Source organism: Homo sapiens, chromosome 2, assembly GCF_000001405.40.
Source record: "Homo sapiens chromosome 2, GRCh38.p14 Primary Assembly".
In the NCBI taxonomy this organism is placed as follows: domain Eukaryota; kingdom Metazoa; phylum Chordata; class Mammalia; order Primates; family Hominidae; genus Homo; species Homo sapiens.
The window spans coordinates 210,028,216-210,040,816 of NC_000002.12; the positions used below are offsets into that span (position 1 = coordinate 210,028,216).

A 12,601-nucleotide genomic window follows, 5' to 3' on the forward strand; every position below is an offset into this window, starting at 1 on the left:
TAGCCTTCCATTATCAACCTGCACAAAACAGTATCTGGCTAAGCCTTACACACTTGTCCTGTGCCTTTGTTGTCGTATCCCTATGTAAATACCTTCTCCACCTTCCCATTCCTTCATGGATGACTTCCCAGACCTTCCCACTCATCTTTTGAATGTGTTTATTGCTGACTTGGCAATGCATCAAAATCTTTTTTTTTTTTTTTTTTTTTTGGTCACAGGTATTACTGTCTTACAGTGTGAATACCCCATGAAAACGTAGAACTCTTTGCAACTTATGTCACACCTGTATCTTCAAGGGCAAGGATTATTTGTTGCTATAGTTTTTATGTCACTAAAGTACCTTTTAGTGTCATATACATAGTAGATAACACTGGATAATAATAATAAAAAAGACTAAGAATGCTAAAGTAGTCTAGGAATTCCTAAATCTTAATAAAAACTGAGAAATAAAGTTGTGATACTATATAACACTTAAGGCACGAGTAATTTTTTTTTCACCGTTTCCCCTCCATGGCTATGAAGGAACTGGGAGAAGGATGCTCCTTTCATTAATTAAAATTCTTCACTTTGAAAATTTAAGTTTATTAGGGAAGGAAGGAAGAAAAATATGAAGATGTAAGTATACATACCTTGGAGTAAGTATTTCCTTATATTGGAGTTTCTCTAATTTAGCTGGGGCTACTAATGACATGGGAATCACAATGTTATCTATGTCATAAGAGCTCTCACTTCTCAATCTCCGTCGTGCAGTATTCTGCAAAACAGGATTACAGTAGATTTACAGTACTGTCTAGTTACTTGTAATGATACCCTCCTTTCATCAGTTATGTAAATATGGCAGTACACGTTACATAATTTTTGTAAATACATTGTTATAAAGTCTGACTAAAAAATGTTAAGAAAACCAAAAAATAAAACATTTTTCTATCTTTTGTAAATCAGAACAATCTCTTGGTAGATGTGTAATGTGTATTTATGTGTGCAAGCATACAAGCTTATTTTTAAGACCACAAAAAATAGGTCTTAAATGCAAAACTCTTTATCAGAAAAGACCAACATACATCACCCTAAATGTCAATGAAAATGATCAGTAACCACTTTTTATTAGGAAAGGCAGTGAAACATTTTTGGTCAGCCCTTCAGTATACTCTTCATTTATGCATTCCTGGTTCCTGAGTTTCGGAATTCATTTCTAAACCCTCCCACCTTTTGACCTCTCTATTCCCTGGCCAGATAACAAAAAAACAAACAAACAAACAAAAAACAGGACAAGAACAAGAAAGTCCTGAATTCTCATTAGTAAGACTTTATTTAGCTTAATATGTTAAGGAATAGAGATGATCATGATAATGTTTAAATTTTTAACACATAAAAAGAAGCTATAACCAAATATTAATGAACTTTTAGCTTCATAGTTAAAAATAAGTTGTATGAATCAAATATATTGTTTTCTAACAAGATAGTTATAAATGTCTGTTAATATGTGCTAGTAAGGCTGTTATAGATTAGCAAAATATAAATTATTTTCAAAATCAGGTGTTTTTATTTTTAAAGCTATTTTAGAGTTCAACATATGGAAAAACCTACTCGTGATGAATTCTGGATTCTTGATAAAACGTTGACATTGGAAACAGCAGTAAAATTGCTATGGGATCCTGATTCTGTGTGTTGAAAATCAGATTCTTCAAGTTTAGTTCTTTCTCCTGCCATGGAAAGAACCATTGAATGTTACACATTAAACAAGTCTAATATCATTAGAATTACTTTCCTAATTAGATGACAGGTGATTGATTCCTTGTTTTGTGTGTGTGTGTTTAAATTCGTGTATTAGAAAACAAAAAAGGAAATGAAAAAAGAGGAGCCTTACTTGCAGTCATGCCACAAGTTATTTCCATTTTCTGGGGCTTTGGCAGTTTTTATCGAATATATTTCTTATTGTTCCCTGAATAATCCCTCATCTCATCCCTTTATTCTTGTTTCCTGTGACTCCTATTCATAGTTGAACCACCAGAACTATCTTAATTTTCTTATCTAATCTCATTTTTCATATCTGACTTTTTATCCTAATTTATGTGAGGTATCTGTCCTTGGTCTTCTGAACACTCTTAATTTTTTGAAAAAATTCTGCTATTATAAGTACATGTTTCCGAAAGTACTTGTTCTCTGGTACTCTTTTTTTAAAACAGCATCCTGTTCTTGTTTCATAGATGAAATTTCTCATATCTCTCAGGATATTGATTAGAAGTTTACTTCTGTTAGTATTTTCTGTATATCTTCCAAGTTCTTTTTTTTTTTTTTTCCTGTTTTGGTTCCCAGTTACTGTGTGTGTGTGTGTGTGTAGTAAATATATATATGTATGCGTTTACTTACTGCCCTTATTTTAGTACAAGTGTTTTAAAATGAGAATATTTCCTGCATAATATAAAATCTAATACCCAGTCCATATTTAAATATCTCCATTTGTTAAAAAAAAGTCCTTTATAGCTAGTTTCTTCAGATAAGGATCTATATATAAAAATTGGCCATTGTCTCCTAGGTTTCTTATAGTCTAGAATAAATCATTTTTCATTACATTGACTTTTGACAGGCTGGACCAGATGTCCTACCCTTTTGGAATTGTCTAGTTATTTATTTGTAGTATGACATTTCTTTATTTTATTCCTGTATGTACATCAAACTTGAAGTTAGATCTAAAGTGTCAGTCAATTTAAGTGAAACATTTTATATCTTAGGTAATGTATACTTCATGTTGCATCTTATTAGATGTTTTTAAAGCTTTATATATATATATAAGTTGAATCTTGTTGACTTTCTCAAAATCCTGAGGAATCTGCAGTGCATCAACATCTCCACAGTAGGTACCATAAATGGTTAACAGTTTCTGTAAGGCAACTTTGCACTAGCCTATTTTGAGCATAGAACACAACTTTGAAGATTAAATCCCATCCAGGGACTGATTGGTAGAAGACAACTAGTCAGGGAACATAGGAGGGAAATACTTAATTGCCATAAAGTGGGTAGATACCAGTCCACAAATAATTCTAAATTAACTACGAATATGCTGTTTCATGTTTGTAGACTCATAGATGTTTTGTGTTATTAGTGGCTGTTCTGGATTATAAACTCCCATGAGAGGTTATTTTAAAATCAGAATTTTTAATTTTTAATATTTATCACTACTGCTTATATCCTCACTTTAACCTACCTAATGCTGTTTCACTCAAATGTCTTTTCTTTCTTCCCTGTAACAGTTGTGCAGAAGATTCTGACCTTATTTGAGGCTTACATATAGGTGAATATCCATTTCTCCATTGATTCAGAGTACTATGTACTAAAACAAATGAAAAGGAAATATTAAGTTTTAGTTCCTTAACACAGACAGTGAACATGTCAATCTGTTTTTATTTGTAACTGCAGAATTTTAAGATACCAGTTCAAAATTACAGATAAACATAAATACCAAGACACACAACTCCAACTAAAAACATCCCCAGGAATTTCCAGTTTCTTATATTTTCTCCATTTTTTTGAGGGGGATGAAAAGGGAAGATGATCTGTTCTCAAAGTCTTCCAAATTACAGAAACTTGATAGAGTGAGGATTGGCTCAGATATATAAATCTTGGCGATCAGAATCTTTAAGTTCTTGCTTACCTTTAAATCTGGAAATAAGTTGGGACCAAGTAAGATTCAACATGGTCAGACTAGACTGTGCGAGCAAGAACCAGAATCATTTAATATCTCTGATGCCTTAGTTGCATCATCTGTAAAATAGGGATAATAGCAGCGACCTTGGATAATGATTACATGAGTTTATTCCTGTAGTAGTAAGTAAAAGTGTCTGATGTGATAAGTGTGCAGTAAATGTTAGCGTTATCATGATTGTATATCTGAACCCCCTTATTTCCAGCCTTGGTCTAACAACCAAATTGGCTTCTTTTTTTGAAAGGTTTGGAGATGTGGAAAGGAGTGGAAAAAGAAATATGTAAGCTGAAGTGCCAAACTCACACTGAAATAAAGGGCATGGCCTACCAGCTGACAAGGAGTGTCTGGTTTCAAGATGGCAAATGACCCTAAACATGATAGACAAATACGTTTTACATAGGTACATGCACAGATAGGCACATATAAATCCACATTTGCAAGCAAAAAGTGGAACCTGTAAAGCAGAATTTCTGAGGAATCTCTAAAAGACTAATACTATATGGAATTTGAAGAGGAAACCCAGAGCAGAAGCACATAGTGAAGTACTGCCACAAAGATGTGTGACGCCACTAAAGGTGCTCTAGACCCACAAGAAAGGAAAACTGGGAGCAGGACAACTATCTGGATATTGACTGCACATGCCAATATCTCAGTCAGACTAACAGAATCAGAGCTTTAGGCAGAGAAATGAATGGTTGGAGAGAGAAGGCAATGCCCAGGTGCCCTGCTTTGAAATGTCCCGCCCATCCCCAAATTAGTCTGAAAATTTCAAATGTTGTATAAATTCCCTTCCCATCAAAAGTGTCCCATAAACAGCAGTGGTAGAAGAGTTTTAACTGAGTATCACAGCTTCAATGATGAGTATAGAAAACTCCAAAAATCTGAATACCAACACAATCAAAAAAGAGGTACAAACCACAAGTGGAAGAACCATCTCAAGAAATAATGAAGCATTCATGGAATACAGATTAGCAACTCTTTAAAACAGTATTGCCAAGAGAAACAGGTAAGAGGCCCTCTGGAGAAATGTCAGAAATAGAAAATGTAATTGTTCAAATGTTAAAATCATCACTAGGCTAAGAAACAGAATGGACACAGCTGAAAATCAAAATCAGGGTCTGGAAGAGGAATTCCATAACTTGATGGAACAGAGTGATAGAAAATATGGAGGGAAAAAGACCGCAATGGGGTAACAAGATGAGACTAGAAAGAGTGAAAAGGAGGGAATAGTTGAAGAAGTGATAGCTGAAGTGTTTTCCAGAATCAATATTAAACCCTAAGATTTCAACGATGCACTTGCATGTCAAACAGCAAATGAAAAATCATAAATGCATCACAGATGATAATACCCTGAAAGTTATTAATACAAGAAAACAGCATGGCAGGAGTAATCTAAACGTACTAAAATGGTAACTAGAATTGTGAGAGGTGGATTTTAAAATGTATGTGTGTGTTAAAACGTGTGTAGGTGTTAAAAGTGTCCATTCTTTTAATAACATTTTGCTGTAGCATTTAAGCAAATCATAGACAATTAACGTTTCTCTTATTTTCTACAAGCAATTCTCCACTCTTCTGAAAACATCAAATTTTGTGAAGGAATCAACTTTCACAAAAGTTGATTTTTTTTTTGAGACGGAGTCTCGCTCTGTCTCCCAGGCTGGAGTGCAGTGGCGCGATCTCGGCTCACTGCAAACTCCGCCTCCCGGGTTCACGCCATTCTCCTGCCTCAGCCTCCCGAGTAGCTGGGACTACAGGTGGCTGCCACCACGCCCGGCTATTTTTTTTTTTTTTTTGTATTTTTAGTAGAGACGGGGTTTCACCGTGTTATCCAGGATGGTCTCGATCTCCTCACCTCGTGATCCGCCCGCCTCAGCCTCCCAAAGTGCTGGGATTACAGGCGTGAGCCACCGCGCCCGGCCAAAAGTTGATTTTTAAATTAAATTTTATTCAAATGTTTTTTTCACATTTATTTTCCTTCTAATTCGTTACTGTCTTGTAAGGTTTTCATGGACCCTTGAAACCGTAGGAAATGTATGACAATTCTACACATCCTCTTCACCTGTTCTATTGATAAACCTCCCAGCCTTTCAGTTCTTGCTCTCCCAATCCTCTCCTAGAGTTCATCCTAAGATCACACTTTCATAGCATTTCTCATATATCCTGTCTTTACTTCCTTCCCTTTTATTCATCCAACAACAACTTTACAGAGAACCAATTACATGGCAAGCATTATTCTAAACCCTAGGTAAGCAAAACTAGGATTTGTAGCAGCCCTTGTCGTTTACAGGTGTTAAGGAATGCAATTGTAATGTGATAGGAAAATATTCATTTCAGTTGTGAAACTACATGATGTTACTGAGAATGTATAAGAGTGCTAGTAAGAGCTCTAGGAAAGGCTTCCCCAGATGAAGTGACAGACTCCAAATATGAACAGAAATAGCTGATAGCTAGGGGAAGGAGGAGAATAGCATGTACAATGGCCCAAGGGAACAGGACAAATTTGGGAACTGAACAGCTATGTACTGTAGAGTAAGGAAGCATGGTGAGAAAGAATCATGAGGGAGGAGCCAGCCTATGTAGATAGGGCTTTAAGGTGTTAAGAATATTCCTTCTCGAATGATTTAAAGGGATGGGGTGGGGAGCAGGTGTGACATTAGATTTGCATTTTGAGGAGGTCACTGCCTACAGTGATTAAAGGGAAAAATGGATTAAAAGTCTATTTCAGCAGTATAGATAAGAGATCATGTTGGACTGTGAGAGTAGTCGAAGGCACAAAAGGAACTCAAACACATAAGATCATATTGACAACTTGGCAATTGGTTTAGACCAAGTTGGAGGAAGTGTGGGTGACAAAGACTGAGCTCTATGTTTCTGGCTTGCTTGTGTGGGTTATGGTGCTATTGTTCCTCCTCTTCCATCTATCTGAGACCTAATTTCAGAATTACAGAAAACTTGAAATAGAACAAAAAATTTCTGTATACCCTTTTCTGAAATCCCCCAAATGTTAACATCGTATCACATTTGCTTTACCTCCTTCTTTCAGACCACAAATGAAATTTAGTTGCTGACATGATGCCCCTTTAGCCCTAAATACATCAATGTGTATTTCTCAAAACAAAGGACATTCTCTTATGTAGCCATGCAGTTCAGTACCATTAGCTAATCTATAGACCTTATTCAGATTTCACCAATATCTCTATAATGTTATTTACAGATAATTTCAACTATTCATTGCAGATGGCATTGCAGTTGTCAGATCTCATTAAGGTCTTATATCTGAAACAGTTCCACTGTCTTCCATAACTTTCATAACTTTGAACATTTTGGTAAGTATAAACCCTTAAATTGGTTTTGTCTGGTATTCCTCATGATTAAACTAGTCATCCATTCACTTTTCAACCCACTACAGTTTGGCTTTTCTCTGCTTGTTGCCTGAAATCAGCAATGCCATTGTAAACTGCCAAATCTAATGGACCATACAGGATAAATCCAAGCAAAGATCTGTCTACTGCCTTCACACAACTTACCCTACAGGAATGCCAAGTTATTTGTAGATATTTGTTGTTGTTTGTTTGTTTTGAGATGAAGTCTCACTCTGTTACCCAGGCTGGAGTGCAGTGGCGCCATTTCGGCTCACTACACGTCTGCCTCCTGGGTTCAAGTGATTCTTGTGCCTCAGCCTCCCGAGTAGCTGGGACCACAGGTGTGCACCACCACCCTCAGCTAGCCTTTGTATTTTTAGTACAGACGGGGTTTCACCATGTTGCCAAGGCTGGTCTTAAACTCCTGACCTCAGGTGATCCACCTGCCTCAGCCTCCCAAAGTGGTAGGATTACAGGCGTGAGCCACTGTGCCTGGCCTTATTTATAGATATTTGAATATATCATACTGTGTCATGTCTCCATGACAAGACATATGTTTGTTTTTGTTATTTAAAGACTTGTTACTCAGTATGGGCCAACAGCATCTGAATCACCTGGGACCTTGTTAGAAATGCAGAATTTCAGGTCCCATTCCAGACTTACTAAATCAGACTCTGCATTCTAACAATATCCCCGAAGTAACTTGCTTACATTTTAAAGTTTGAGAAGCACTAATCTGGAACGCTCCACCCTTCTTTCTCTGTAAATTCCAATTAAGTAGTCGAAGCTGCACTTAGGCATCACCAACTTTCTGGAGTTCCTCTCCTTGCCCATTTCTCATCTCCCTGAACCTCTCTTTTTCTGCCTTCTAAGTAGTTACATACTCCTTATTTATATCTTCTTTATATAATTTCTTTTTAAGATAGAGTCTCACTCTGTCACCCAAGCTGGAGTGCAGTGATGCGATCATTGCTCATTGCAGCCTCAAGCTCCTGGGCTCAAGCAATCCTCCTGCTTCAGCCTCCTAAGTCCCTGGGACTACAGGCATGCACCACCATGCCTGCCTAATTTTTATATTTTTTGTAGAGACAGGGTTTTACCATGTTGCCCAGGCTGGTCTTGAACTCCTGGGCTCAAGCGATCCCCCTACCTCAGCCTCCCAAAGTGCTGGGATTACAAGCATGAGCCACCACACTCAGCCTTCAAAGGTATTTATCATCTATGTCCATTATACTATATAATAGTTATTTGTGTCTTCCTCCATTACATTATAATTTTGACTTCCTGTAATTCACCTTTGATTCTTCAGCACTTAATAGTCTGCCTGGCACTAAGTGCTCAATAAATTCTGAACTCAAATCACTAACAGCAAAAGAAAAATTAATGACCAGCTATTTAAGACAGATATATAGGATGAAATTTCTCATTACATTATTTATGCATTCCCCTTAATTGTGTGCCTAACACGTTTAACTGCCTTATTTTATTTTTTTACAAACAGGGTCTCACTTTGTCACCCACCCTGAGGTGCAGTGGTGTAACTATGGCTCACTGCAGCCTCAACCTCCCAGGCTCGGATGATCCTCCTGCCTCAGCCTCCCAAGTAGCTAGGACAACAGGTGCACGCCACCATGCCCAGCTAATTTTTGTATTTTTTGTAGAGATGGGGTTTCACTATATTTCCCAGGCTGGTCTTGAACTCTGGGCTCAAGCGATCCTCCTGCCTCAGCCTCCCTAAGTGCTGGGATTACAGGTGTGGGCCACCGCACCTGACCTGCCTTATTTTTTTTAAATCAAATAGTAGAACAACATTAAAAGAAATATAATTATCTAATCTCTAATAGCATATATTTTCATATTTGCATACTCTTTCAGTCAATAACGTTTTATATTTCATATGTATTTCAAGTATGAAATCATAATTTTAATTAAATGCATACTTATATTTTTATCACATACTCTATTACTTTTTCAGATGGTTATATAACATTCCGTGATTAGAAACAATGTTCTTTAGCTATTTCCTAGCTGTTGGCCATGATACTTATCATCATAATGATAATGCTATTAGAGACATTCTTAAAATAATCATCTTCATGGATGCATTTTTTTCCCTTTTGAAAACAATCTAGTCTCGGGACAAATTCCAACAAGTGAAATCGCATCATTAAAAGGTAACTGCACATAATACTTATATTTTTCTGTATTTCTTTAGGCTTTTCCCCCTAAGCATAGATAACTGTTCTTCATCCTTGGTGCCTTCATCTTTTTTCTCTTTAATTTTTACTGTGGAAAATTTTCAAATAAACACAAAGGAGACTAGAATAATGAACTCCCGTATACCTATCCTTCCGTCTCAGCAGTGAACAACTTATAACCAATCTTGTTTCATCTCTCCCACCAACATTTTTGCTAGAGTATTTAAAAGCAAATCCCAGACATGTCTTTTCATCTACATATATGTTAGTGTGAATCTCTAACAAACTGAAAAAGTACGTCTGGGTTTATGTAACCACAATGCATTATTACAAGTAGCAAAATTAACAATAATTCATTAATATCTAACAGCTAGTCCATGTTCAAATTTCTCTGTTTCAAAAATTATATGTGTGTCTATAAACAGCAGGCTTATTCAAATCAATCTCAACAAGGTCCATACATTGCATTTGATTGATATAACAATAAATATTTCTACACGACTATAATTTTACCAGATATAGAAGTAAAATATTTTTATCCTTTTATATCACAACATTCTTTGATAAGTAGGTTTCCATCCTTATATGAACTTTTAAGATATTTTTTAAGGCTGTATATTCCACTGTAATGTATTTAACCATATCCCTATTATGCTTTTCAAGTTGTTGCTAATTTTTCATTATCACAAAAACATGTTAAGATGAATACAGTTGCGAAAAAAGCTTTCATATTTAGGATTAGACTAGATTCTTGGAAATGGAATAGTTGGGTCAGAATGCAGGGTTAACAGTCCAGTAAACATTTATTGGGAATAGGTACAAAATAAACAAGGGAGTTTTTAAGCCACACTGAACTTATAAAAAAATACGTAGTTTAAACGCCTTGTAATGCATTTTGCAGAGCTCCTCAAAAGGCTTGTATCAATTCTTAATATCCAAGATATTTGAGGGTGCTATTTTTACTATAGTTGTGCCAAAATTGATGATTATAATGTTTAAAATCATTAATGTTGCAGGCAAAAGTAGTAAATATTTGCATAGTGTCTGACTATAAGCTCAGTTAATATTATTTTCATTATTATCATCAAGTACACTTACTTTTTCTTGTTATTCTTTTAAGACATTCATTTTTAACATTTAACTTTTTAATCCAACTGAAATGTATTTTAATGTTCATCCACCTTAAATTTGTTTTAAAGTGCTTTATGAGTTAGTGATATCAGTTTTTAATTCTTCCAAAGAGTCGTTATTTAATGCCTTTGATTACAAAGGAAACTTAGTTATATAGAGCATGGCTCCAAGCCAGACTGCTTGGGTTTGAATTCTGGCTCTTTTATTACTCAACTGTAATTTGGGGAAGATTAGTCAAGGAGAATAGTAATACCTACCTTATAGAATTATACAGACTTAAATAATTAAGTAATATAAAGCCCTTCAATCAGTGCTGACATATAAATGATGCTTCATAAGAATTTGTTGTTGTTGTCATTATTATTTATTGACTAAGCCATTTTATCAACATGGTAGGAAATACCACCTTCTGTCTCTAGGCTTTTTTTAAGCTCCCTTGATCTGCCTTCTATCAGAACCACCATGTTTTAGTGATTATAACTTCATAGTCCTGCTATTAATCTTCTAAAAATGTAATTGGCTATTCAACATTTTCTGTCTGAGATAAACTTCCAGAATAACTTCGTTCCAATAATACCTCTGATTCTGATTAGGATTATATTCTACTTGTAAATTAATTTGGGGAAAATTGACAACTTTAGTTATGATACTGTCTTCTGACAGGAACAGGATATTTCTCTCCATATAGGAATGTCCTCATGTTTCTCACTGAACTTTTGAAGTAGTCCTCATGTAGGTACTCGTTAAGTTTGATTAAAAATACTTTATATTTTCATTGTCAATATGTCTAACAGAATTTATTCCTTTACATAGGCTATCTAGTTACTATTGGTACTTATAAAAGCTGCTGATTTTTATAAATTTATTTTATAATAAGACCCCAGTTCTAACAGGTATTCATTTGACTCGAGTTTTTGAGGTAGATTATTTCATGTAGAAATAATTTATCTTAAATTTATATGACTTTTCTGATGTTTAGATTTTAACTTTGTAGATAATCAAAATATGTTGTTTTCTTTCTTCTTCTAATTGCTTCCAAGCATAGAACTCACCCACATTTACAGAACTCATAAACATTTCATTATAATTTCCTCAAGTTTTATTTTGTAGTTTTAATGTTTTATGTACAATTCTTGGAATTAACTAGAACTTATTCTGATTCATAGCATTAAATGAGTATGTAAAAGAATTTTACTGGGAAAGACTCTCTCCATGAGAACCAATGGTTCTCCACTTTCCCACTAATATACAATTCTTCCCTGATATATAATCAACTATAGAGTTTACTTCATTGATCTATTTTCTTAAATATAAACAAAATAGATTCTACATTATTATAGATTTTTGTCATGTTTCCATATGTGCTTGGGCTAGATTTTCTCTAAACTTTTTATAATAATTCCTTTTATATTTTCCCCTGTTTAGTCTTCCCATTGTGCTTTAGAATTATTTTAAGTTAAACAAATTCTATGAGAACTTCGAGTTACATTACATTAATCATATGAACTATTAGGAAGAATTTATATATTTATTGATCTTACCATACAGAAATGCTGTTTCTCCACATTTATTTAAATTTTTATTATATTTATCAGTAATAGTTCATAATTACAATTCAATAGGTATCGCACATTTCATGTTAAGATTGTTCTTGTATTTTATGTGTACATGAGTTGTAAAAAGTGAGTATTAAAAATTAAGGATTTTCATGTATTCTTTTCTTAGATTTTATTTTTCTTAGAATGCAAAAATAGTAAGTATAAAGACATAAAAAGGCATATAGAGTACAAGAACTGTAAATGTGACATACCAGGTGATGGAGATATGATATATTCATCTACAAATTTATTTTCAGCAAGATTGCCTTTTATTTCAGTCTTTTTTAACAGTGTTTCAAAGTGAAAATGAAGAGGCACATCTGGAAAAATAAAATAAAAAAGGTATTTTCAAATACCACTCTTTGTAATACTAGGATTACAGATTGTAACATTAAAATTGCTTTCTTTCTATAAATAGCACATAAGCTTAAGAAAATAAGCAAAAGTTTGAGATGTAACAACTATCGGAAGTGACAAAATACTCTTTCCAAGCATGTTGGTAGCAGTATTTTAGAAATTACTGGTTAGGTGCACTTAATCAACAAATTAAAAAGCTAACAGAGAAACAACTTCATGAACTTCCTAAAATAGTACATAAGATGAACAGTA

General features: G+C 34.6%; 1 protein-coding gene and 1 long non-coding RNA gene across 12 annotated transcripts in view; one reads left to right on the plus strand and one right to left on the minus strand.

Annotated features, from left to right (window-relative positions):
- The window catches only part of KANSL1L (KAT8 regulatory NSL complex subunit 1 like), a 151,340-nt gene that overhangs the window by 6,795 nt on the left and 131,944 nt on the right, over positions 1 to 12,601 (minus strand). For 9 of the 11 annotated variants that reach the window (XM_047443489.1, NM_152519.4, XM_005246330.4 and 6 more), the window contains 4 exons: positions 12,205 to 12,312; positions 3,206 to 3,331; positions 1,588 to 1,703; positions 630 to 754 (listed from right to left, as the gene is read on the minus strand). In XM_047443489.1, coding sequence (XP_047299445.1) covers positions 630 to 754; positions 1,588 to 1,703; positions 3,206 to 3,331; positions 12,205 to 12,312 — 475 coding nt within the window. The remainder of the gene's footprint in view (positions 1 to 629; positions 755 to 1,587; positions 1,704 to 3,205; positions 3,332 to 12,204; positions 12,313 to 12,601) is intronic. The other 2 variants (NM_001307976.2, XM_005246332.6) reach the window with 1 other exon arrangement.
- Positions 1,707 to 12,601, plus strand: part of KANSL1L-AS1 (KANSL1L antisense RNA 1) — a 34,435-nt gene continuing 23,540 nt past the window's right edge. Inside the window, exons 1-4 of the long non-coding RNA NR_110291.1 lie at positions 1,707 to 1,783; positions 3,252 to 3,292; positions 3,948 to 4,709; positions 6,941 to 7,029. This is a non-coding gene — a long non-coding RNA (KANSL1L antisense RNA 1). The remainder of the gene's footprint in view (positions 1,784 to 3,251; positions 3,293 to 3,947; positions 4,710 to 6,940; positions 7,030 to 12,601) is intronic.